The sequence below is a fragment of the Homo sapiens genome, chromosome 2 (assembly GCF_000001405.40).
Source record: "Homo sapiens chromosome 2, GRCh38.p14 Primary Assembly".
Lineage (NCBI taxonomy): Eukaryota > Metazoa > Chordata > Mammalia > Primates > Hominidae > Homo > Homo sapiens.
The window spans coordinates 241236808-241261692 of NC_000002.12; the positions used below are offsets into that span (position 1 = coordinate 241236808).

Below are 24885 nucleotides of genomic sequence, written 5' to 3' on the forward strand. Positions count from 1 at the left end.
GGAAGAGACCCCACACCTTGTTCAGAATGCATATGTCTGTGAGGCACCTGCTGGGTGCTGGGTGGTAAAAGGGAGGGAAAACCACTCCTGTCCTTCAGGAGGTCTTGGTCTGGTCAGGGAGAGCAGATAGGACGTCCCCACAGCAGCCTCAAAGAGGGCTCCCAGACCTTGGGGGGGGGGGGGGGGGCGGCAATGAAGGCTTTGCCGGGAGGCCGTGAGCTCTGTGTCTCCCTTCTTCACCTTGAAGATGAAGCTAACAGCAACTAACTACAGCAGAGGCTTCAGTGAGATCAGATGAGTTAGTTCATGGGAGGAACACAGGGCAGACCCACTGCACAAGTGAGGCTTGACTGTGAGGCAGGGCTCATCAGGGAAGGCGGCCAGCACGCAGCCCCACCCAGGAGAGGCAGTGGGAAGGGGGGTGAGAGGTCTAGGGGAGACAGAAAGGGCAAGGCCAAGGTAAACCTGTGCCAGCTCCTTATGCCAGAAAGCGAGAGCCCCAGAAGTGAAGAGGCGTGTGAACAGGACACAGAAGACAGCTGGAGGGGCTCCTACAGGCCACACTGGGACACCGCGTGTGTACCAAAATAGACACCACAACAATAAGTGTCACAAAACAGACACAACAATAATTATCACTAAGACAGAACCCAGGAGGTGTGTGATGTAAATAAATGAGCAGGAGACCAGACAGACGCCTGCCTGAAATCAAGGGTGATCCTAGGATGGGGAAGTAGGTGTTTCTGAAGGAGAAAAACTGGCAAATTTGAATACCGACAACATATTAGATACTACTGTTATATAATGTTAAATCCGATTCCGATAAATGTGCTAGAATTATGTAAGAGAATGTCCTTGTTCTAAGAAAATACCCACCATGAATAAAGGGACATGTCTAAAAATGACATTCAGAAAAAAAACGTGTGTAAAAGGGGAGAAGTTGAGAAAAGAAACTGGTGCCACAGGATGTGTCTTTATACTATTCTGTGAAATTCTATCAAAATCAAAGTTTTAAATAACCACTGAAGTGTAAAACATAGACAGAGTGCAGTATGAGTTTATTAGTTTCCTACTCAAAACACCCTGTATTCTCAGGAAAACAAAGGGGCTTGAATGGCTGTGTGTGACATGCTTCCTGGATGCCCAGAGAGATGACACTATGTGCACTCAGCAGGCTGCAGGGCCACCTGCCGCCCAAACAGCTCAACCAAGACTGATAACACAGAGTGGAGGGCGGGCATCTGATAACACAGAGTGGAGGGCATACCTTTTGTTTCACAAATGCAGAGCAAGTGAGAGAGAGGCAACCGACCCGCATCCCACAGGTCGCCTCCCCACCACCAGGTGCATGAGCAGAGCTGGGGGCAAGCATGGTACGGGGAACTGAATGCTCTCCTAGAACTGCCGGCCACTTGGATGGTGCCCTCTGGCCAGCCAGAGGCTGCAGCTGCCTGCCTCACAGGGGACACCCCACAGTGATGGGAGATGTGGAGGAGGAAGCTCTACGACGGGGCTCATGCGATCCAAACGATGTCATGAGAATCACTGGGACTGAACTCGGGACACCCGAGGATGAGGCTGCACGCTCCTCATCGCCTTGGGACTGGCTACCTTGTGTGTCTCTAGGACCTATGAAGGTCACCTGGTCACTCTGTCAGTAACTGACGTGGTCCATCTTTTAAAGGCCAGGGAGTGACCCTGAACCTCTGGAAGCCCCCAGAATACATAGATGGTTTTCCAGCAGAGACAGGAAAGAGCCTCACCAGTATGTGCGACAGCCCCGCCTCTCACATGGGAGGCGCCACTATTAACAAGCAGAGCAGGGCTAATGGGGGACCCACCTGCGTTCTCCTCTCTGTCTGGGAATTTAATTTGAACACTGAAATCCCGAGTAATCTGCTGGATTCTGGAACCTTTGGGGCCCATGACAGATCGATGGAATTTCTGGGGTATAGCACATTCTAATGTCACCTGAGCTTCCTGGAGGGAGGTACACAAAGAAAAAAGAAAAGAGCAAAGATTAAATTCCTTAGGGCAAGTTTTACAGCACTCTTCACACCACCTTCCTCCCTGTCCTCTACAGCCACTTGGCACAGATGCTCCCCTTCTCCCGAGTCCAGGGCTCCAGGCGCAGGGAGGAGGGAGGTAGCAGGACAGGTCTAAGGGGGTGGGCCTCCTCTGAAATGTGTCCCAGAAGGCCAGGTGCCATCCCTGGAGGGTGGCCAATTCAGCCAAAGGAGTGGGACCTCCTGGGGTAGCCTCTGACTCCATGAGGAGGCATCAGACTTGATTATTAGGGAAAGGGAATCCAAGGCCCTGGCAGGGGAGTGGCCTGGAGGGGACACTCTCTAAAGACTGCTTCTAAAGACCACGTCTTCTCATGACTTCCCATGGATTCACGTGGATGCCCTCAAATCGATTTTCTTTCCTTCACAGAGGGGAGAAGAGAGCTGACCCCTTAGACTGCATTTTCATTTTTCCTGATCCCTTATACAGAATGCATTTTCTTTCTTTCTCTTGCTTTCTTTCCTCTCTCTCTCTCCCCTCTCCTCTTCTCCTTCTCTCTCTCTTTTTTTTTTTAAGTGCTTCTCGCAGGCAGAATTCTCACCAACTATCAGGAAGGAGGCCAGACAGGCTGAGGAAAGAAGAGCGAGCACCAGAAAGCCCCTTCTGAAGCCTTCCAGGGCTGTATGAGGGAGTCACCTCCCTACAGGGTGGAGCGAACACTCATACACGGCTTCGGTGAGTGGCCACTGGGGGGTGAGAACCCCTCCCCGAGCACCCAAGTGCCTACCAGGTCCTCAATGATCTCCTGAATGCGTTTCTTGGCTGCCTCCACACAGTCCTTGGCGCCCTTGAGGGTGACTTTGTCGCTCTGTGTGCCAGAGCGTGGGAAGCTGACCATCACCCCGCCATACTCTTCAGCAATCTCCCGCAAGACCTGGCCTCTGCGGATGACGAAGTGGCGGTGGTGCTTGGGGTCCACCAGCATGGAGTCTTCCACCACATTATCCTGCAGTGTTAAGAAGAGATGGAAGATAAGCCACCCCATCACGGCCCCAGCAGAGTCGGCCGCCGAGGCCCGCTCCCTACCAGGTTTTGGATCAAGGCCTCCAGCTCCTTCTGTGCCTCTCGGACGGCGTCCTCCTTTCCAATGATGGTGATCAGGTCCTGGTCCTTGTCCTCAGCCGCAGGGAAGATGACACGTGCTCCAGTGCTGTCGCGCACCTTGCGAATTTTGCCGCCCCCCTTGCCGATGAGGAATTTGTGGTATTCTGGCTTGGCGCGGATGTCAACAGTGAAACTCTTGGTTTGCTGCAGAAACCAATCCCACTGTGTTAGCCTGACACCACGTGCCTGGACCACAGTGAGGAAGACAAGAGGGTCTGTAGGACAGCAAGCTCGGGCTCCCCTTACATTGTCACCAGTGTCCTGATGTTGCACCAATACCCCCAAAATGGGGCTAGCACACCTCACTGAATAAACAGATGAATACCCAGACTGCACACCTACTTCTCTTCCACAACAACCAGATGCTGGTGGGATGAACACACAGGCTTAGAACCCTGGTCCTGCCACTTACAAGCACTGACCAAACTTCTCCAAGCCATTTTTGATCTGCACAGGGGGAGGTGGGAGCAACGCGCCGGACGATATGTTGGCGGAGTGCACGTCCTGGGGAGCGTGGGGTGTGCCCAGCAGAGCAGGAAGCAAGCTGCCCAAGAGGTGTGCACCATGCTCCCACTCTTCTACCTGCTTCCAGACCAAGCACACACAAATCTGGGCCAGGCTCCCTTTCTTCCCACGAGTGCTACAGATCAGCCTCCACAAAACCAGCCACTCCCCAGGCTCAAGCTCAAGCTCAGAGGGACACAAGCCAACCAAGGCTACAGTTAGAGACCGGTCCTCAGAGGCCTCGTGTAGTGCGACGCCCTTGTGTGGCAGTAAGAAAACGAGGGTCCTGGAAAGGCCCCGGACACTGCTTGTGGACACCAGTGCTTCTGGCAGACCCACGCAGGGGCCCCGAGAAGGGCGCTGCTCCACGGGACTCAGGTCCACACGGGGAGCTCTTGCCTTTCTCCGGACCCAAGATCTGGCCCGCAAGCAAAAATACCAAAGAAAAACATGCTAGCACAAAAATATTAAATAACAACTTTGCTACCTTTTAAGTGCAGGTTTCACCAAATACCACCTAGAGACTCTGCTACTTTTCAAAGACATCCACAAATAGCAGCATTAGTCAAACATTAGGCAATCAATTAGGCAAATGCAATCTAGCAATATGGCCAAAGACAACCTACCAAACCAAGCAGGGATTACCCCAGAAACGCAAGGCTGGTTAAACACAAAGACAAAAACATCAATCTAATAACAACAACAAAAAAGACAAGAAATACAAGGCTCCAGATTAGAGAGAAATGTAACTGTCCACAGACCACGTGATTGTGACATATAAAATAAGGATCCACAAAACAGTGGGCCGGGCGCAGTGGCTCACGCCTGTAATCCCAGCACTTTGGGAGGCCGAGGCGGGCGGATCACGAGGTCAGGAGATCGAGACCATCCTAGCTAACACTGTGAAACCCCATCTCTACTAAAAATACAAAAAATTAGCTGGGTGAGGTGTCGGGCGCCTGTGGTCCCAGCTACTCGGGAGGCTGAGGCAGGAGAATGGCGTGAACCCAGGAGGCGGAGCTTGCAGTGAGGCGAGATTGCGCCACTACACTCCAGCCTGGGCGACAGAGCAAGACTCCGTCTCAAAAAAAAAAAAAAAAAAAAAAAAAAAAAAAAAAAAATCCACAAAACAGTGACTGGCGCTAATATACATGAGCTTTATTTAGCAGCCTCGTGAAGGTCAACATACAAAAACCACAGGCACTTCCATGTGCTAACAACTGGAAATGGAAAAAAAGTGCCATTTACAATAGCACTAAAAGAGTAACAGTAGTTAGATCTGTTAAGTCGAACATAAAAATGTGCTAAAAATTATAAAACACCAATAAAGAATCACAGACCTAAAAAAAATGGAGAAATGCCTGCAAAAGTCAAAACTGCTGAGCTGTCAATCCTCGCCAGTCTCATCTTCAAATTTCACACAATCCCAATCAAAACGTGAAAGTGCTTTTTTCCTACAAATTGACAGGCTGATCAGCAAGGGGTGTAGAACAGCCAAAGTTAAGAGGGCTCACACTACTGATTTCCAGACTTCCCATAAACCTGGTGTCACCAGAAGAGCCCGGAAACATACCCACAGATGGGTTTTGACACAAGGACAACAGCAATTCCATGGGCAATCTTTAGGGGTGATGGAAAATGAATTTTGATGATTGTGGTCACATGACTGCATGTTACTTAAAACTCAACTATACCTGAAGAATGGCCAATTTTACTGTAAATCATATTTAAAAAACAAAAGCACCCCAAAACTAATAAGCCAAAGACCAACTTTTATATATTGCATATGTGAGCGTTTGGACCTGGAAAGGCCCTCCAGTAACAGCAAAAACAAAGACGCATAAACAGTACATTATAGAGCTGTTTTCTGACCCGCCACAAAGGAAGGGCATTCAGGGGTTTCCACAGTGAGAAGCGAGAACACTGTACTGAGGACCAGGCTTCCTGCCAAGAGTCACGCTCCCTCCCCATGCTCACCTTCTCCTCCGCCAGATGCAGGAGCTGCTTCTTGGCCTTCTCCACATCCGAGGAAGGGCCCCTGATAACAACGGTGTCGCTTCCTGAACCTTCCACGGGAAAGTGAATGTGGACCCCGCCGCACTCCTCCATGATGGAGCGGATCAGACGGCCCTTGGTGCCAATGAGGGAGTTGTGCAGCTTGGCAGGGATGGAGACCTCTACCTCGGCTATGTTGGCCTGAAACCAAACACAGGGCAGGAGGAGGAAGTCACATTTTTGTGGCAAAAAGGGCAGAGGAAAAGATAAACTATCATCTTTGGTGGTGATGAACACGCAGGCCTAGAGCCCTGGAGATGCCACTTACAAGCACTGACCAAACTTCTCCAAGCCATTTTTGACCTGCACGGGGGAGGAGAGTGCACGTCCTGGGGAGAGTGGGGTGCGCCCAGCAGAGCAGGCGCGCTGGGAGGTGTTTAACTCAACAGGACCCAGAGTCCTCGTGAATCTATGCTGGATTGGGAGGTGGGAGCGTGGTAATTTCAGACCACACATAATGCTCTATTTCTTCAGTCAACGCTCCGGCTCTGCCAGAGGTGGCTCCATATGCCTATGGATACATAAACTTTTCCTATTAAAACCAAAGATTCTGCTTTCAGCCAAGATGCAGTACCAGGGACTGGACTGAACTTACCGCCTAATGGTGACTTTCAAGACCCTGGAGACAGGAAACAAGGTGAGCCCTACAGCTGCCCCAAGTTGCTGCCACAGTACGGGAAGGTGAGGAAACAGAACCATCCGGAGATCAGAGCCCAAAGAGACTGGCATCGAGAACCTCTGAGATCCGGAGACCAGCCACTCATATACTGATACGCGTGAAGAAATCACCCTGGGCCTGGGAAAGAATCCCCAGAAGGATCACAGGAAACAGTGCCTGCAGCTCAGCTGGGCCTCATACAGTGCCTTTAGGTCAGTCAGGGCCGGGTATAGTGGCCTACAGCTCAGACACCAGGAAACAGTGCTTTTAGCTCAGTTGGAGCCTGGTACAGTACCTGCAGCTCAGACACCAGGAAACAGTGCCTGCAGCTCAGTCGGGGCCTGGTACAGTACCTGCAGCTCAGTCACCAGGAAACAGTGCCTGCAGCTCAGTCGGGGCCTGGTATAGTACCTACAGCTCAGACACCAGGAAACAGTGCCTGCAGCTCAGTCGGAGCCTGGTCCAGAACCGTCCTCAGCAGTTTCAACTTTCTGGGACGTGGAGTACTCAGAAGGATCTTATCTCAGCAGTGGAAATATTTGGGCCTGAACTAAATACTGCTCTGATCCTCCCTAATAAACGTTAAAAGCAAGTCCTAAAAGGAGCAAAATGTTTCAGAGTGACTTCACAAACACAAAATAATATTCAGAGGAATACAAAAACACCCTCATTAAGAAACACCAGAAATGCAAAGAATAGGGGGAAAACCCATAACGAGGAAAAGAAAATAGAAAACCACCCAGAAATGACAGTGTTAGAATCAGCCAGCCAAGGACAGAAAAACAGGTATTTAACTGTATTGTCTATGGCCAAAAGCAGAAAGACTGAACATGTTAAGAACTGAAAATACAGAAGATACTAATTCAGAGTGAACTTCTAGGGAAGAAAACAACATCTAAAATGAAAATGATATTAGATGAAATGAGGCAGATTAGAACACTGCAAAGAATTAATGAATTTAAAGAAACTCATGGAGAAAACCAATATCGCTCCTCCCCTCAACTCAAATAAACAGAGCACAAGTAGAAGACAACTAAATACCCTGGTCACCAGAGTCCCTGACGGGGAGACAGCAAGGGGCTAACACAACAAAATGCTCATAGTGACCAAAAATTGTCCACATTTGATGAAATTCTGAACACATATATTCAAGAAGCTCAATAAACACCAAGCTAAGAGACATGAAGAAAACTACACAGAGACACATCCTAACTTGCTCAGAGACGGTGGTAAAACCCTAACAGCAGCCAGAGGGAGAAGGTTTGTCATGGACAGAGGAACAAAGCCAGGGGCACCATCAGCTTTCTCATCAGAAACAACAGGAGACGGCAATGAAGCCAAGTCTGGAAAGGAAAAAAACTGCCAACCTAGAAACCTTTATGCAGCAGAAACAGCTTTTCGAAAGTGAAGGAAAAAAATACTTGCAGACATACAGAATGTGAAAGAAGTCATTACCGGATACACACTACGAGAGATGTTGAGTGGTTTCCTTCAGACAGAAGGAAAATGAAGACAAGGATCACGCCAAGAAATGAAGAGCTCTAGAAATGGCAACTGTGTGGATAAATACATACATTTTTTCATATTATTTAAATCTCTTTAAAAAATAATGGAATTTTTTTTAAAGGTTAATAATGTAAATGGTGGACTGAAAGCCAATCATATAAAATCATGACATCATGGTGGCTGAGCACGTGGGGATGGTGGTAGTTGCTGTTTAATGGGTGTAGTTTCTGTGTAAGATGATGGAAATGCTCTGAAAATGGACAGGGTGATGGTTGCACAACCTTGTGAATGTACTCAGTTGAATTAACCATTAAAAAACGATTAAAATGATACATTCTGCTATGTATATTTTACCACAATTGAGGAAAAAAATTACAGTAAGTTATTTAACCGTGTTTGTTAAACATATGTAATAAATATAAATATGTGATATATAACATATATAATCACAACTGTAATTAAATGCAAACATCATAATCTTTTTTCTTTTTTTTTTTTTTGAGACAAGGTCTGGCTCTATGGCCCAGGCTGGAGTGCAGCAGCGCAATCTCAGCTCACTGCAACCTCCACCTCCCAGGCTCAAGCCATCCTCTCACCTCAACCTCCTGAGTGGCTGAGACTACAAGCATGCAGCACCATTACTGGCTAATTCTTTTTGTAGTTTTAGTAGTGACGGGGTTTTGCCCAGGCTGGTCTTGAACTTGTGAGCTCAAGTGATCCGCCCACCTGAGCCTCCCAAAGTGCTGGGATTAGTAGATAGATTTAATTTAAAAAGCAAGCTGCCAAAAAGAAACTCACTTTAGTATCATATAAAGGAGGCTGGGTGCAGTGGCTCACACCTGTAATCCCAGCAGTTTGGAAGGCCAAGGCGAGAGGATCACTTGAGGAGTTTGAGACCAGCCTGGACAACATAACAAGACCTCATCTCTACTAACTAAAAGAAGAAAAAAATTAGCCTGGTGCGGTAGCATGCACCTGTGGTCCCAGCTACTTGGAAGGCTAAGGTGGGAGGACTGCTTGAGTCTGGAAAGCCAAGGCTGTAGTGAGCCATGACTGCACCACTGCACTCCAGCCTGGACGACAGCAAGACCTCATCTCCAAAAAAATTTTAAATATAAGGGGGAAAAAAATAACATAGACTTTGGAGCCAAGCATACTACCAGGGAAAAGGCATCATTTTATAATGGCACAGATTACATATACTGTGAAAGAGAGGTGACGTCAGTATTGACAGCAAAAGGATAATGCAGGACTATTCTAAAAAACTTCATGTTAATACATTTGACACCTTGGAGAAAATAGAAAACCCCTTGAAAGACACTAATTACCAAGTACACACAAAGAAACAGATGATCTATCCCTACAGTGCAATATTATCCTGAAATAAAAAAGAACAAACCAACAATACAGGTGACAACACACACAAATGTCAAAATATCCTGCAAAGTGAAAGCAGATGGGCCCAATAAAGAGTAGATGTTATGATTCCATTCACACAAAAGCGTAGACAATCCAAAAGCATCTACTGTGGCCGAAAGCAGACTGGGGGTTGCCTGGGGATAGAAGTGGGGGTGGGGGGAGTGTGGTTTTCAGGAGCTGCCAAGTGGGATGGAGGGAGACTGTAATACAAAATGGCATGGGACATTTTTGGGGTGATGGTGGGAATGATTCCATGGATGTATACACACGTCAAAACTATTACATTGTACACTGTAAATATGTACAATTTACTGCATGTCAATTTTTTTTAAAGGAAAGAAAATACCGTAAATACCTTCAGATAAGATTTTCAGGTAACAAGAAGAAAATGTCTAATAAGACAAGTGCCCACGTCAAATGTTACTGCTGCAGGGTCCAGGTAAGTAAGTATCGTGAGAGACAAAGGCAGAAAACTGCTGACCAACTCATCAGTAGCCTGGATTGAAAGGTGCAATCTTCCACATCAGCCTGCGCTGGCCCAATGACCCTGCGTGACTCAACCCCAGGCTCAATCTTAGAGGCTGTTAGAGATTTTACTGGAGGATCTCCATTAGAAAACATCTCCCATTACCAGGTCTTTCTGAATAGACAGAATCCTGCTCCGGGCAGCTTCGCAGTTGGCTCGCTTGCCTGTGATGATAATGGTCTCTGAATTGCTATTCTCTGCTGGAAGGTCGATTTTGGTGTTGCTTTCTTCACGAATCTACAGGGAGAGAGATCACCATGAGAAGCTGACTAGAGCTCTCCCAGAGTTGAGACACAGTTGAGCACAGGGCTAGAAGTAAGGAAGAGTCCCTCCTAGTCTAAAACCAAAATGGTGCAGGGCTACAGAGGACAAGGCAAGAAGAAGCAAGATGCAGCGGACAAGTTATCACCTTTTTAATGTTTGCGCCTCCTTTCCCAATGATATTCTTGTGAAACTGTTTGAAGATCGGAACAGAAATTGAATAGCTATTTTCCACCTTAAAGACAAAAAACACAGCCCGATTCACCACCTGTGCTAGAGAGTAAAATACAGTATCCCTTCTACCCCTAAGGGTAGCATGAACACGACAGAGCACTGGTATTTGCAAACAAACCTTCAGAGGTTTGTCATGAGGGTAAGTGAGATAGATCATTTGTCCAACAACTAACTTACGTTGCAAATTACAGTCAATCGATGCAAGTCTACTTTTTGGCTAAGAGAGAGTTCATGTCCCATGCCAGGATCAGAGCTGGTTAAGGAAGGGGCTCAGAACACACATGGAGACAGCACGGACCCCTACGCTCTGGGCAATTCTGCACTCACGGCAGTGATGTGACAGCAGCTCACAGTGCTGGAGTCCTTCACCATCGCCTCTCCCAGGGCAGCCATCAGCTAAGGTGAAGCCCACGGAAATACATGGCTGCCTGTGGCCTTCTCATCCACTACTCACTACACTTTCTAAACCTGTTCCCACGTCAGTTTTTGAGAAAAATAATAAATCAGTATATGACTCCTCATGTCACCTGTTATACCTCTTATCTTACTGGATGGGACAATTTCTCTAAGTATCTGAAGACTCCTCAAGGAAACAAGGTAACTGGGCATGAGAAAAGGCAAATCTCCCCACCTGAATTCCACAAACACTGCAGTCTTAACAATGACTGCCAATCTAAACATCCAGGTATTAAGTGAGAAGCCGTCACCACTTTGTCCCAAGTCCCTGAGATGGAAGGCCAGCCCAGGGCCTATGTGCTTTCCCCAGAGCAGGGGTCCTGTGGGGGTCAGGACTTCTGACAGGACGCATGCCCCACCCACCCCAGGTGCTGTCATACAAGAAAGGATGTGAAACACCCCTACCAGATCTGCCACCATCTTCTGCATGTATTTTGTGCATTTTTCCACCTCATTCTTAGGTCCTCTGAGCTGGACAATGTCACTTTTTTGTGCTGGGTCTGGAAAGTTAATGATGACCTAGAACAAATCATGGGGAGACTAAGTTCAAGTATGAGGAAGGACATATATCCCAAATATCAAATATTCCTGAAGTGTGACTTGGATCACTCCTATAGAGTTACAGAATGTCTCTGGGAAACTTTACCTCTGGGAATTTGTCACGAATTTCACGGATCCGTTCACCCTTCTGCCCAATGATTGTGCGATGAAATCTTTGCTCAATGATTAGATCCTTGGTACGCTCATTTTCCTAAAAATACAATTAAAGTAGATGTCATTTATCACAAGCACGGCGAGCAACTCCCCACTGACACAAGGGGACACCAGGGAGCCCTGGGCACAGTCCTTCATGGAGCAGGTGAGGTGGTCTCCAGGTGGCACCTCGTAGCACCCCGGGAGCAACCAGCTGTTAAGAGTGTGCACAGCGCATAATGAGTGCTCTCACCAAGCATCGCTACACTCCGCAACATGGGCTGCACGTCACTTCCCTGAACAAAGTCCAATTAAGGAACTCGCTGTAGGACCCTTCAACCAAAAGTGCTATCATGATAGCAGTAATCACCAAAGCAATTCAGTGAGCACTTCTGTTTTAACAGGTACTACAGGGGAGGCCCAGCTCTTCTACTTGGAGGCCTGGCATTCTGCATAGCAGTGAGTGATCCCTTCTGAACAGAGGGTGGCTCGGACCACTTTCCCCGCATGGCTAAGAACGTTCAACACAGGGCACTGAACCCACATGGCTCTCAACTCCTCCACAGGCCCCATTAAAATGTCAGAAGAAATACAGAATAAGCAGAGCTGGAATTCAGGGAAGAACACCAACAGCCAACCAAACATTTCCAAGAATTCTGAGAGATTCTGGATCAAACGGCTATTGGCTGACAGAGAAGTAAGGGCTCAGCAATCAGGAAGGGCATAAAGCAGCCAGGACAAGGGACCTGGGCTGGAGGCCAGGCTAAGAGGAGAACCTGGAATATGAGACTGGGGAATGAGCTCCGGGAAGGCCACAAGCAGTGGGAGGCTGCATCACGCCCTGGAATGCAGCTCAGGGCTATAAAAGAGGTCTGCCAATTTGAGATTCCTCGTGTGGGTACTGGGGTGAGGTGAACAAAGAATCCCCTAAGCGAATGACAGGGAACCCTGGGGCTTGTTCCTCACACAGTCAGGCCAAAGTGCTGCTGCAGGCACTCACGCAGTATTTGACTTCTCTGGATACTTAAAGGCACCCAGAGACTTTCAAGTGTGGGTATCTGACTCACAGAAGCAAGGGTGCTCACAGCTTGGCATAAGCATGTATGAAACGTCGGGGAGCCCAGAGCAGTGCAGTGCTTCTGCCAGGTGGTAGAGAGCAACAGCCCCCACTTCAGGTTTGCAGTGATCCTCGAGTCTGGCCTTACATGAGAACCACCTGGGATGCCTTTGAGAATCCAGAAATGTCTGTCACAATCTCTGGAGATGGTACCCAGGCATCTGGGCACCCAGGGTGTGGCCAAGGCCAAGACGCTGCCACACAGTCTCTGTGCCCTTCTAGCACAGCACACAGCCATGGAGAACAAGACGTGCAGGTGACCTGGGGAGGATAAAGGAAATGTGGCCCCAGGGAGTCCAATCCGGTTCCAGTGCAACGTGGGATTTGTCGACTTCCATTCTCTAAGGCCGCACACCACAACACGCTACTCCTTAGAGGGGGCCAAGAGACGCAAGGCCAGTGCCTTTCTAGAGGGCCCAGCCATGGCACTTACCATGCGAGATGCAAGCTCCAGCAGCTCTCGCTTGGCCTGCTGCACGCCCTGTGGGTCCCCCTCGATGCGGATCAAATTGCTCTTCTCACTGTCAGGAGGGATGCGCACGGACACCTTGTACTGGTCTTTGATTCTGTTTACTTAGGAACACAAAAGGAAACACATTTAGGACACAGACCAACAACATTCTGCCAATGACATAACTGGGCAGGACAGCGCTAAAGCGCTAAATAACCTTATCTGTGATTCCCATCACCAAAAACGATGCTTAGCTTCCCAAACAAAAATCTCCATTGTCTAGAATGGGGGCCAGTTATGATCTTCACCTGGATCACAAGGGTTCTGGAGGACAGGCTCTCAGCCTGGACCAGAAGCTGGAAATGCCCCGAGACCTTCAAATAACTGACGGTTGGGGCCACTCAGTCTGGGATTTAGCTCGTCTGGGGTATTGGCCAGGGCTTCAGAATAGTTGAAGGATTCCAGGTGTTTCTAATGTGCAGTAAGTTTGGGAACTACTATTCTCAAGTTAAAAAAACCACACACATTAACTCCACACAAAAGCACTCACTGACGCCTAAGAGCCTTGTGGGGCCCATGCTGCTGCCCAGAGACCCCATCTACTGTTGGCTCAGATTCACACTGAGCACTTCACTGTGTCTGCAAGACAAGTGCTGTTGCAAACCCTCCTGCTGTCAACCTCTCTGGATAGAACCCAGTACCCCCAAGTTAAGAGTTCCAGGCCCCCCAAACTCTGGAGAAGCCGTATCATCAGGAAACAAGGCAGGAATCTTGCCCACTGTGCAGTAAAGGGAAGCCCAGCTTGCTGGAAGGACCACGAGGAGGGCTTTTTGTGCGTCCATCCCAAACACATGCACACGCAGAGGCAGCAACGAGGCGATGCACTGAGGGGGGAACATGGACATGCAGCTGTGCCAGGTGAAGCAACACAAGACAAGAGAAGCAGAGGACATGGGAGCTGGGCAGCAGGTTTTTTTAGATTACGAAAGAAGACAAGAGTTAGGAACTGCATGAGAAGAAAACAGAACAGACATGACTGACTAAGCTACATTCTGCAATTTCTCGGGGGCAGAAACCAGAAATTAATGTTAGATTTACACTACTGTACTTCCATATATATGTGTTTTGAGACAGGGTCTTGCTCTGTCACCCAGGCTAAAATGCAGTGGCACGATACAATCACAGCTCACTGCAGCCTTGACTTCCTGGGCTCAAGTGATATTCCTGCCTCAGCCTCCAGAGCAGCGGGGACCACAGGCCTGGCTAAATTTTTCTTTTTTGTAGAGACAGGGGTCTCACTATGTTGCCCAGGCTCATCTCGAACTCCTGGGCTCAAGTGATCCTCCTGCCTTGGTCTCCCAAAATGCTGGGATTACAGGCAAGAGCCACCGTGTCAGGCCTAAACAAACGCTACAGTTAACCAAAACCAAAACAAAACCGTAAAAGCAAGTTTATGGTGTATGTGTGGTTCAAGTAGTGCGCAAAAAGGTCACTTTGTGCCTACAGACTCTCGTCGCTGTCACGTAAAATGCCCACAAAACATAAGACTGACACCAGAGAGCTCACCATTGCACAGGCCACAGCACAGCTGCCAAGGCTATGTTTACTCATAACAAAAACGGATACACGGACGTCAGTCATGTTATGCAGGTCGGTGTCCCACTACCTGGGAAAGGCTCCTTCATCCACTGAACTATCCAGGAATGGAGGACGTGCTTGCCTTCTCACCTTCCACCCAAAGGTAACACACGCGACGTGTGCACTTGTTTTCAGAACACGCGAGTGTGTGAGTATAGCCATACAGTTAAACAAAGAGGTGTAAAAAAACATTCTTGGTTGGGCACAGTGGCTCATGCCTGTAATCCCAGCACTTTGGGAGGCCGAGGTGGGCAGATCAACTAAGGTCAGCAGTTTGACACCAGCCTAGACAACATGGTGAAATTCCATCTCTACTAAAAATACAAAAAAATTAGCTGGGTGTGGTGGTGCACGCCTGTAATCCCAGCTACTTGGGAGGCTGAGGCAGGAGAATCGCTTGAACCTGGGAGGTGGACGTTGCAGTGAACTGAGATCACGCCACTGCACTCCAGCCTGGTGACAGAGCGAGACTCCGTCCCAAAAAACAAACAAACAACACAAAACATCCTTGGACCTGCAGCAGAATGCCCACGACACACTTCTAACAGCATCCTGTAACTGTGCTACACCTGCAACCTGGCACAGGTGAGGCACACAGCGACCTTGGCCCACATGACATACTTCCAACAGTGTCCTGTAACTGTGCTACACCTACAACCTGGCACAGGTGAGGCATATAGCGACCTTGGCTGACATATCACTGCCTCTTCAACAGAATCCCCCTGCTGGGTGTGGTGGCTCACACTTTTAATCCCAGCACCTTGGGAGGCCAAGGTGGGCAGATCACCTGAGCCCAGGAATTTGAGACAAGCCTGGCCAACATGGTGAAACCCCGTCTCTTCTAAAAATACAAAAATTAATTGGCTGTGGTGGCATGCACCTGTAGTCCCAGCTACTCAGGAGGCTGAAGCTGGAGAATTGCTTGAGCCCGGTAGGCAGAGGTTGTAGTGAGCTGAGATCACGCCACTGCACTCCAGCCTGGGTGACAGAGTGAGACCCTGTCTCAAAAAAGTATCCCTCCCCATGTTGTTTTACTTGGGCACAAATCTAGAATGTTTTTACTCTTCAGTGAGTTCCAGATCAGCAGTTTCCACGTTCAGAAGGCATGAGTACTACCAACACTGATTGGCTAACCTAGCAGGTCTGACGGAAATATAGAGAATGCTGCCCTTGGGCATGCCTTCAACATGGCCTCTGTGGGTTATTTGGGGAGGGCTTAGATGGATTTCCAAAAGTGACAATTCACCCACTGGCCAAGCAGCTCTAATCCAACCACTGCACCAAAGGGAAAAGGAAAAGTGGCCTCTTCCAGCAGGCAGGAGGATGTAAAGTCTGTAACTCCCATTACAGGCAGCAATGGGCCTGGACTGTCTGCACGGACGTCACAGTTCTCACAGCTGACACCCCCCACAAGGGTCTCAGGGCACACTGGCCCCACCGCAACAGACAGCCTCACTCACTGTTGGCACCGCTCTTCCCAATGAGGTGCCTGTGGAACTTGTGGTCGATGTTGATCTCCACATAGTCCATCCGGTTAATCTGCAGGAGGAGCACAGAGGTCCATGGATGCGCCTGGTTACTTGGCCAATGAGCTGAACCAAAACCCAGCAGTCTCCACGGTTGCCTTTTCTGACCACTCAGCTGTCAGGAATTGTTGGAGACTGCCCCTGCATCTCCCCTGAAAGATGCCTTCTTCAAGATGAAGTTTCCTCCACCCACGATTATTCCAGGACTTCGACCAGCTTCTGGTTGTTTCAGAACCTATTACTCACCCAGCTAGGATGCCCTGGGTGTCTGTGCCCGGACATGTGGGATGTCATCGAGAGATGACCGCCCATGCCCAACTCAGAGCCTCCCTTGTCACCAGCACACACAACATTCCAAGGGGTACCTTACCAAATCTTTGACCATGCCTTCTATCTGTTCCTGGGCCACATTGACATCCTCTGTAGGGCCCTCCAGGGTGATCTTGTCTTCGCCCTCTGTGAACTCGATGTGAACCTACCACACCAAAACCAAAGAGATAGCTAAAACAGAATGGCACAGCTGCAGCCCCTGAGCTCCCAGTGGGAGCTCTCTTCGGAGCGGCTTCTGATCCCAAACTGCTTCACATAGATGTGAGGGAGGGAGGGACATATCCACAGCCATCAAACAAAGTTGAAAGGGAGGGTTAGGGAGCCATAGTCAGGAAACTAAATACTGTGGCCGAATAATCCTGCCTCTCACTAAGGACACCGTTTGCCCCACAGAAGCCACTAACATAAAGCATGCGACATGCGACATGCTCCTCCACCATCTGAACTTTTACAAGGCCTGGTCCTCTTGAGTTGCATAAAGAATGAGACAGAGCACGGATGGAATTTTAAAACTCGTATAGCTGTACCAAGGTGGTAAAGTAACTTGCTTGACATAGACAAGGCTGCCAGAGTTCCTGGTTTATTATCCTCCAGGTAAGGAGTTAAGGAAGGCAGACTGGTCCTTATATGAAGCTATACAAAGTAAAAGGGGCTGGGCACAGTGACTCACACCCATAACCTCAATATTTTGGGAGGCTGAGGTAGGAGGACTACTTGATCCCACGAGTTCGAGATCAACCTGGGCAACTAGTAAGACTCTGCCTCCACGAAAACTAGCCTGGGGCGCCTGTAGTGCCAGCTACTTGGGAAGCTGAGACGAGCGGATCACTTGACCCATGAGTTCAAGGCTGCAGTGAGCTATGACTGCGCTACTGCACCCCAGCCTGGGTGACAGAGTGAGGCTTTGTCACTAAAAAAAAGGAATAAAATAAAAAAAATTTAATTTTTAAAAAGGACTGTAACATTAATTGGAAACAAAGTTTAAATAAAACAGGAATTAAATATGATGGTTGGATTCTCTGGTATTTCTTTTTTGTTCATGTTTCCTGGGGGCTACAATCTCCTTTGGTAAACTGAGAACGCTTTAAATTCACACTTAATACAATTTGTATACAAGTTCTGCTCTTCAAAGTATTTTTTTTTTTTTTTTGAGACAGAGTCTCGCTCTGTCGCCAAGGCTGGAATGCAGTGGTGCCATCTCGGCTCACTGCAAGCTCCACCTCCCGGGTTCACGCCATTCTCCTGCCTCAGCCTCCCAAGCAGCTGGGACCACAGGTGCCCGCCACCAAGCCCGGCTAATTTTTTGTATTTTTAGTAGAGTCGGGGTTTCACCATGTTAGCCAGGATGGTCTCGATCTCCTGACCTCATGAGCCACCGCACCCGGCCCGCCAAAGTATCATGAAGTTATTTCACCATAATTACTAAATGACATGTTTCTTAAGATACTTATGAAACCTAAGAACATACAATCCTCTCTGGTTAAAGGCCAGAAGGATGGTACAGACATCTACAGACATTTATTCTGCTGTTCTTTAAGCTAACACGGAAGTTGACCATGTCAAACAGGCCAGTTAATTCAGAAAAATACACCAGTTTTCAAGGGCATCCACAGTACAAAGGTCAACAAAGCAATATCAGAAACAGAAAGACAGAAAACAAGACAAATTCAATACAACAGGTGAAAAACGTGTCCTTACCTTTGGCATCTGCTGAGTGATTTTGGCCAGGTTCTGCCCTTTCTTGCCAATGATGAAACGGTGAAGCCAGGAAGGGGCGGCGACAGAGGAGACGGTGAAGCTATTGGCCTAAGAAAATGGGAGAACAGCCATGGGTTTGCAGAGCTCAAGGTCGTGTCACAGTGAAAGCCAGGCTGCTCACCTGGGGCTCAGAGGCACGCTCTCCCCAAACCTGGGCACCTGCACTGTGTCCAGGCCCCAGGATTTACAAATCGAGAGCTCATCCATGAAGGCCCCGCGGACTCCACTCAAAGGAGACACACTTCATGCTCGGAGGCAGTTACCTTGGCATAGACTTCAGTCAACGCCTGACCTAACTTTTCAGGTTCGCCTCGAAGTATTACAGTCTCAGAGATGCTGTCTGAGGGTGGGATCTCAACGGAAACTCCAGTTCTCTCAAGGATCTCCTGCAATGAATTGCCCTTGGGCCCAATGACATACTTGTGTTGGGATTTCTTCACTTCCACTGCAATGGTTGTAGTCTTCTTTTTCTAAATAAGAGCACCATAAGGGGCAGTCAAAGGGAAAGGTGTGGGAAGCGGGCAGGTGGGCATGGCCACTGCTGCAGAAAGCAAGCCAAAGCGGCCCAGACTATAGATGCTGATCCCAAGAAGTGAACAACAAGTGATCAGGACTAGCCAATCCCCAGAAACTTCACTGTTCAAGGACTGGATTTTTCCCCTCAGTCTAGTCACCCGCCGGCTGATAACTTCGTCCTTGAACACTGCAAAACACCCAATCCTTTCCCTCAATTAAGGAACACGTTTCAGACCTCAAAGTTCACTAAGCTGAGCTAACAGCTTAATCTAAGACGTGAACAAGTCCGGGATGTGCATCTGACCCGGGGCAGCCCAGCTGGCAGCCTGTCAGCACAGTCAGAGGCCCAGGACGGCAAGGACAACTGCCAGGCAGATGCTCAACAGCAAGGGGGGGCGGGCACCGATCTCACCCGGGTCACTCAAGTGTAGAGACAATAAGCATCTTCATCAAGGACAAAAAGATAAGGGGCAGAACCAGGCCTTAACTGAATCTCCAGACCCAAATCCTCATTTCTATTCCTGCCCATGGGGATTTGCCTCCTCTAAATCGTGTACCTTCTCCTCATAAATCTTCTTGATGCGAGCCACAGCCTGAGCCAACTGTTCCTTCTCTCCAGTGAAGACAATCTCTGTCCGGTTCACGCTGGGTGGGGGGATGTTGATGCGCGTGCCTGTCTCCTGCATGATCTCGCCAACCAGTCTATTATACGGCCCAGCGATGAAGGGGTGGAATGCCTTTTCTACTTCTAGCCTCTCCACAGCACGTTTGTCCTGGAAAGGAAGGGATGATCTGATGAGAACAGGCCTTTGAAAACAAACTGGGGACAGACAGGGCTTTTTAGAGTTGGAGTCAAGCCCTCCACCCCCACCACATTATGCCTTGAAGTCCACACTGGACACGGCAACCCATGAGGGAGTGAGGTCTGCACAAGCAGGTAGGCAGGGGCACGAGGCACTCACACAGGCCTCACCTGCTCGGCAGAGATGAGTAAGACTTCATGGCGAGCTTTCTCGATGCCCTCTTTGGTGCCAGTGATCTTGATCTGATTGCTGGGGTCATCTGGGCGTGGGATCTGGATTTTGGTTGCAGTTTTTAGCTCCAAGTCTTGCAGTTTCTCTCCATTTTTGCCAATAACAAAGCGATGGTGTTCTTTGGGAATGGCAACAGTTGCTGAGGCCTATAGCAAGAAGAGAATAAAAGAAAACAAGAATATTTGTAGGTTCTGAAGGAGCATATTTTTCCAAGACATTCTGGCAGAAACACCATCTTTGCTTATTCCTGCCCAGCAGCACCAACTCATCCATTAAAACAGCATGAGCTTAAACATCACATGCTTGGGGAAGGTTGCCCTGACTCCCAGGTTAGGGTAAGTTCGAGTGTATCTGCACCACTACTTAACATCCACTGGAATATACACCCACAAAGGGAGACAAGAGTTAACATCCACAAAAGCTGGACAGGAAGAAGCATGACTGCATATCCAGAAACCCTGAAAAAACTACTGGGTGAAATTCTATTTATAGCAAAGAGAAAAGACTGAAATCAAGAAGTTAACAACATTAACTTCCACAAACAACAACTACTTAGAAGATGTAATGAAAGAGATGCGTTTCTTTTTTTTTGAGACGGAGTCTCGCTCTGACGTCAGGCTGGAGTGCAGTGGTGCCATCTTGGCTCACTGTAACCTCTGCCTCCTGGGTTCAAGGGATTCTCCTGCCTCAGCCTCTCGATTAGCTGGGACTACAGGCGTGCGCCACCATGCCCAGCTAATTTTTATATTTTTAGTAGAGGCAGGGTTTCACCATGTTGGCCCCGATGGTCTCGAATTCCTGACCTTGTGATCCGCCCACCTCAGCCTCCCAAAGTGCTGGGATTGCAGGTGTGAGCCACTGCGCCTGGCCAAAAGATGTGTTTCTAATAGAAAAAAGGAAAAAAGAAAAAAGGACAAGAAAATAGCAAGACACAAGCCCAACACAAGGTGGAGTATGTGCATTCGAAATTAGAAAACACTCCTTAAAATAGCTAACAGAAGGTTTAAGTAGATGGCGATCATCCCAATTAACTTTAAAATATTAATACAATTTCAAACAGTTGATTATAAAGGTTGTAACACAGAACCAACAAAAATGAACAAGAAAACCCTGAAAAAGAATAGTGCAGGGTGGAGGTGTTAACAGTGGTCCTAGACATTAAACATGAAACCATTATCATTAACACAGGAAATACCAGTATACGGAAAGACCTGCTGGTCTGAACTGAAAACCCAGAAACAGAGCTAAGTTAATATAAACATTTAGGACATGATAAAAGCAGCCACTCAAGTTCACTAGAGCAAAACGTCTTTTCAAGACAGTGATGGCACGCCTGTAATCCCAGCACTCCGGGAAGCCGAGATGAGAGGATTGTTTGAGCCCAGGAGTCCAAGATCAGCCTGGGCAACATGGTGAGACCTGACTTCTACAAAAATTTTAAAAATAAGCTGGCCAAGGCCAGGCGCAGTGGCTCACGCCTGTAATCCCAGCACTTTGGGAGGCCGAGGTGGGTGGATCACGAGGTCACCAAAAATACAAAAATTAGCATGGTGGCAGGCGCCTGTAATCCCAGCTACTCGGGAGGCTGAGGCAGGCGAATGGCGTGAACCCGGGAGGCGGAGCTTGCAGTGAGCCGAGATCGCGCCACTGCACTCCAGCCTGGGCGACAGAGCAAGACTCCGTCTCAAAAAAAAAAAAAAAAAAAAAAAAAAAATTAGCTGGCCATGGTGACGTGTGCCTGTGGTCCCAGCTACTGGGGTGGCTGAGGCAGGAGAACTGCCTGAGCCTAGGAGGTTGAGGCTCCGGTGAGCCGTGATCATGCCATGGCACTTCAGCTTATGTGGCAGGCTGAGACCCTGTGTTACAACAAACAAAAAAATAGTGCTGACAACTCGAAAGCCGTATGGAAAAAAGTGAAACTCAATCAGTGCCTCAACCCTATTTGCAATAAATTCCAAATAGATCAGAAACTGAAATGTAAGAACACATTTACAAGCAGCAGAAGAAAAGATAAACTTTCTTATGACCTGATAGTGAAAAAACTTTCCTAACAATGACTCAAGATAATAAAAAATGCAAGTGGCCCTTATATATTGAAAAGGTGCTCAATCTTGCTCATCAGAAAAATGCAAATTTAAAGTATATTTGGTTGCCTCTCACATCGGCTAAAACCCAAGAATGTGAAGAGCCTGGCTCTTGCATACTGCTGATGAGACGGCAAAACACTAATTCCTAAGGAAGGAAATTTAGCATCCGATGGCCCGATTCCACATGCAGCCACCCTCTGACCCAGCCATCTCACTTCTAGGAATCTATCCCAAGATACACTGGGTAAAACAGGAAATAGCATATGCACACGATTGCTACTGTAACATAATTTGTAACAGCTAAAGTCTGGAAACTACCCAAATGCCCATCAGTAGGAAAGCCTGGGTAAATTACAGTACGCCCACAGAATATTACACTGCTGAACAAAGAAATGAGAAAAATCACTACTTACTGATATGCAGACACCTCCAAAAAATAATAAAAGAAAAAAAGCAAGGCATAGAACAGGGTGTATGGCAAGCTGTATTTTGCTTCTGCTCTCAAACAACAAACAACAAAGGATAAACCAGGACCAGGAATGGCCGCCTGCAAAGGTGAGGAGGGAGCAGGGTGAAGGTAACAGGCAGGGGAGATTTCTCTGAAAGTACTTTATTATATAACGTTGACTTTGCAAGCATGTAAATGTTGAAATACTTTAAAAATTGACAGTAAATGGAAACAAATGTACCTAACTATATCAAGATGACAGAAAAACTCAGAAAAAAGGAATTACTTCAAGTGATTTTGAACTCATGATTTTCCTTTTCTGGGACTCTGTCACCCAGGCTGGGCTGTGGTGGTGCAAACACTGCTCACAGAAGCCTCCACATCCCAGGCTCAAACAATCCTTTCTCCTCAGACTTCTAAGTAGCTGGGATTACAGGTGAGCACGCCACCACTATTTTTTGTAGAGATGGGGTCTGACCATGTTGCCCAGGCTGGTCTCAAATTCCTGTGCTCATGCAATCTGCTCACCTCGGCCTCCCAAAGTGCTAGGATTACAGGCGTGAGAGTCACCGCCTGCTTTTCCTTTCTTAAAAGTACAATTATCCTAGCTCTGTCTTCTGAAAAAGCCTAGAAGCTCTGACAACCTAGTTGCGACGTGCACCTATGGAGACTGGAGTCTCCAACTGCAATTTCCTACTCAAAAGGTTCAGAGTTCAGAGAGAAACAGCTGACTCAAGGTCTGTGGAAGGAAATATGTAAGATTAGCCTGAGGCATCTTTCTGTGTTAGAAATTAAGAAGTTATTTATTTATTTATTTATTATTTTGAGACAGAGTTTTGCTCCTGTTGCACAGGCTGGAGTGCAATGGCATGATCTTGGCTCACTGCAACCTCTGCCTCCCGGGTTCAAGTGATTCTCCTGCCTCAGCCTCCCAAGTAGCTGAGATTGCAAGCACCCACCGCCACGCCTGGCTAATTTTTTTGTATTTTTAGTAGAGATGGGGTTTCGCCATACTGGCCAGGCTGGTCTCAAACTCCTGACCTGAGGTGATCTGCCCGCCTCAGCCTCCCAAAGTGCTAGGATTATAGGCGTGAGCCACTGCACCTGGCCAGAAGGTATTGATATTAATAGGTCATGACAGAAAGCTGCAGGGAACAAAACTGAAAGGAGGGGACCCACTGGCCAAAGATGAAGCAGCTCCAGCATGAAGAATGATGGACAATGCCTGAGTTCATAATGACACTAAAGAGAGTCACTGATCAACACTGAAGTCGCCGGAGCGCCAAAGAATCGATTATTTATCTGGTACTTCCCACCCAACTGCTGATGAAGAAAAATTCTTCTTTACAAGAATTATCAACTAATGTATGAGCAGGGAGAGAATTAGAAAAGCATAATTTGCAACCCTTAACGAATTTGGGCAATCACCAATTGATAGTAAAATGATTACACAAAGCACTGATAGGGAACTTTACAAGGGAAGACCCAGACCTGAGCCTAATGATCAATCTCAAAATCAGTTCAAAGCAGAACAACCAGCTATCACAGCACAGACTCAGCACCACCTACAGGGTCTTCTTGCCCAACAAGCTGACTGTGGAAGTAACCAAGCCCCTAGAGATCTAACACCAGTTCACCAAAAATAATCAGTCAATAGCAGAACCAAAAACCTACGGTCCCCACTAATCAATGGCATTAAAAAAGGGGAGGATTGGCTGGGCGTGGTGGCTCACACCTGTAATTCCAACACTTTGGTAGGCTGAAATGAGTGGATCATTTGAGCCTAGGGGTTTGAGACCAGAGTGGGCAACATGGTGAAAACCCGCATCTGCCAAAAAACAAACAAAAAAAAAGCCGGGCCTGATGGTGCATGCCTGCAGTCTCAACTACTTGAAGGGCTGAGTCAGGAGGATCACTTGAGCCCAGGAGGTCAAGGCTGCCATGAGCTGTGTCTGCACCACTGCACTCCAGCCTGGGCAACAAAGTGAGATCCTGTCTCAAAAAAAAAAAAAAAAAAGGGGGTAGGAGGGAGTAAGCACTGTTAAAGAATGAGAGACAGGACTCTATAATCAAATGCAACATTGTGACCTTGTTTGGACACTGACTTGAAAAGACCAACTGAAAGAAACATCTTGGAGATGATGAGGAAAGTCCAAACAGAGACTGGGTTAAAAAGGTATAATATTAAGAAACCACTATCAATATGATTACATGAGTTAGGAGCACAATGACTATATATATGTATACATGAAAACGGGAAGATCTGAACTAAGGCACAATAATGTATCTGGGATTTGTCTGAAGATAATTGAGGAGTAGGAGAGTGTCAGGGGTCAATGTCTTCATTCTGATCCATATATTCAGTGAAGTGGCCCTTTCCCCTACAGTGTTGATTACAAAACAGAAGCTCAAATATCCACTGACTAGCAGACACCTGGAAAACTTTCAGAGCCTATTATGCACTGGCCACCATGCTGGACAATTATAAGCAACACTT

General features: G+C 47.7%; 2 protein-coding genes across 27 annotated transcripts in view, besides 1 other annotated feature; one reads left to right on the plus strand and one right to left on the minus strand.

The window, feature by feature from the left end:
• ANO7 (anoctamin 7) overlaps nt 1–3501 on the plus strand; it is a 51632-nt gene extending 48131 nt beyond the window's left edge. For both annotated transcript variants that reach the window (XM_011511267.3, XM_017004229.2), the window contains one exon: nt 2584–3501. In XM_011511267.3, coding sequence (XP_011509569.2) covers nt 2584–2674 — 91 coding nt within the window. In that variant the 3' untranslated portion in view covers nt 2675–3501. The remainder of the gene's footprint in view (nt 1–2583) is intronic.
• HDLBP (high density lipoprotein binding protein) overlaps nt 1–24885 on the minus strand; it is an 88382-nt gene that overhangs the window by 9517 nt on the left and 53980 nt on the right. For 24 of the 25 annotated variants that reach the window (XM_017003941.3, NM_005336.6, XM_011511060.4 and 21 more), the window contains 15 exons: nt 19793–19999; nt 19377–19592; nt 18567–18773; nt 18244–18351; nt 16586–16690; nt 16150–16228; nt 13034–13173; nt 11437–11541; nt 11196–11309; nt 10249–10335; nt 9945–10076; nt 5653–5871; nt 3094–3315; nt 2795–3013; nt 1842–1980 (listed from right to left, as the gene is read on the minus strand). In XM_017003941.3, coding sequence (XP_016859430.1) covers nt 1842–1980; nt 2795–3013; nt 3094–3315; nt 5653–5871; nt 9945–10076; nt 10249–10335; nt 11196–11309; nt 11437–11541; nt 13034–13173; nt 16150–16228; nt 16586–16690; nt 18244–18351; nt 18567–18773; nt 19377–19592; nt 19793–19999 — 2299 coding nt within the window. The remainder of the gene's footprint in view (nt 1–1841; nt 1981–2794; nt 3014–3093; nt 3316–5652; nt 5872–9944; nt 10077–10248; nt 10336–11195; nt 11310–11436; nt 11542–13033; nt 13174–16149; nt 16229–16585; nt 16691–18243; nt 18352–18566; nt 18774–19376; nt 19593–19792; nt 20000–24885) is intronic. The other variant, NM_001243900.3, reaches the window with a different exon arrangement.
• Nucleotides 13735–13941: a silencer, noted in NCBI's record as "fragment chr2:242189957-242190163 (GRCh37/hg19 assembly coordinates)". NCBI's record gives its function as "represses an EF-1alpha promoter that drives an FKBP-Casp9 reporter gene in an ReSE screen in HepG2 liver carcinoma cells {active_cell/tissue: HepG2}" and the evidence as "EXISTENCE:reporter gene assay evidence [ECO:0000049][PMID:32094911]".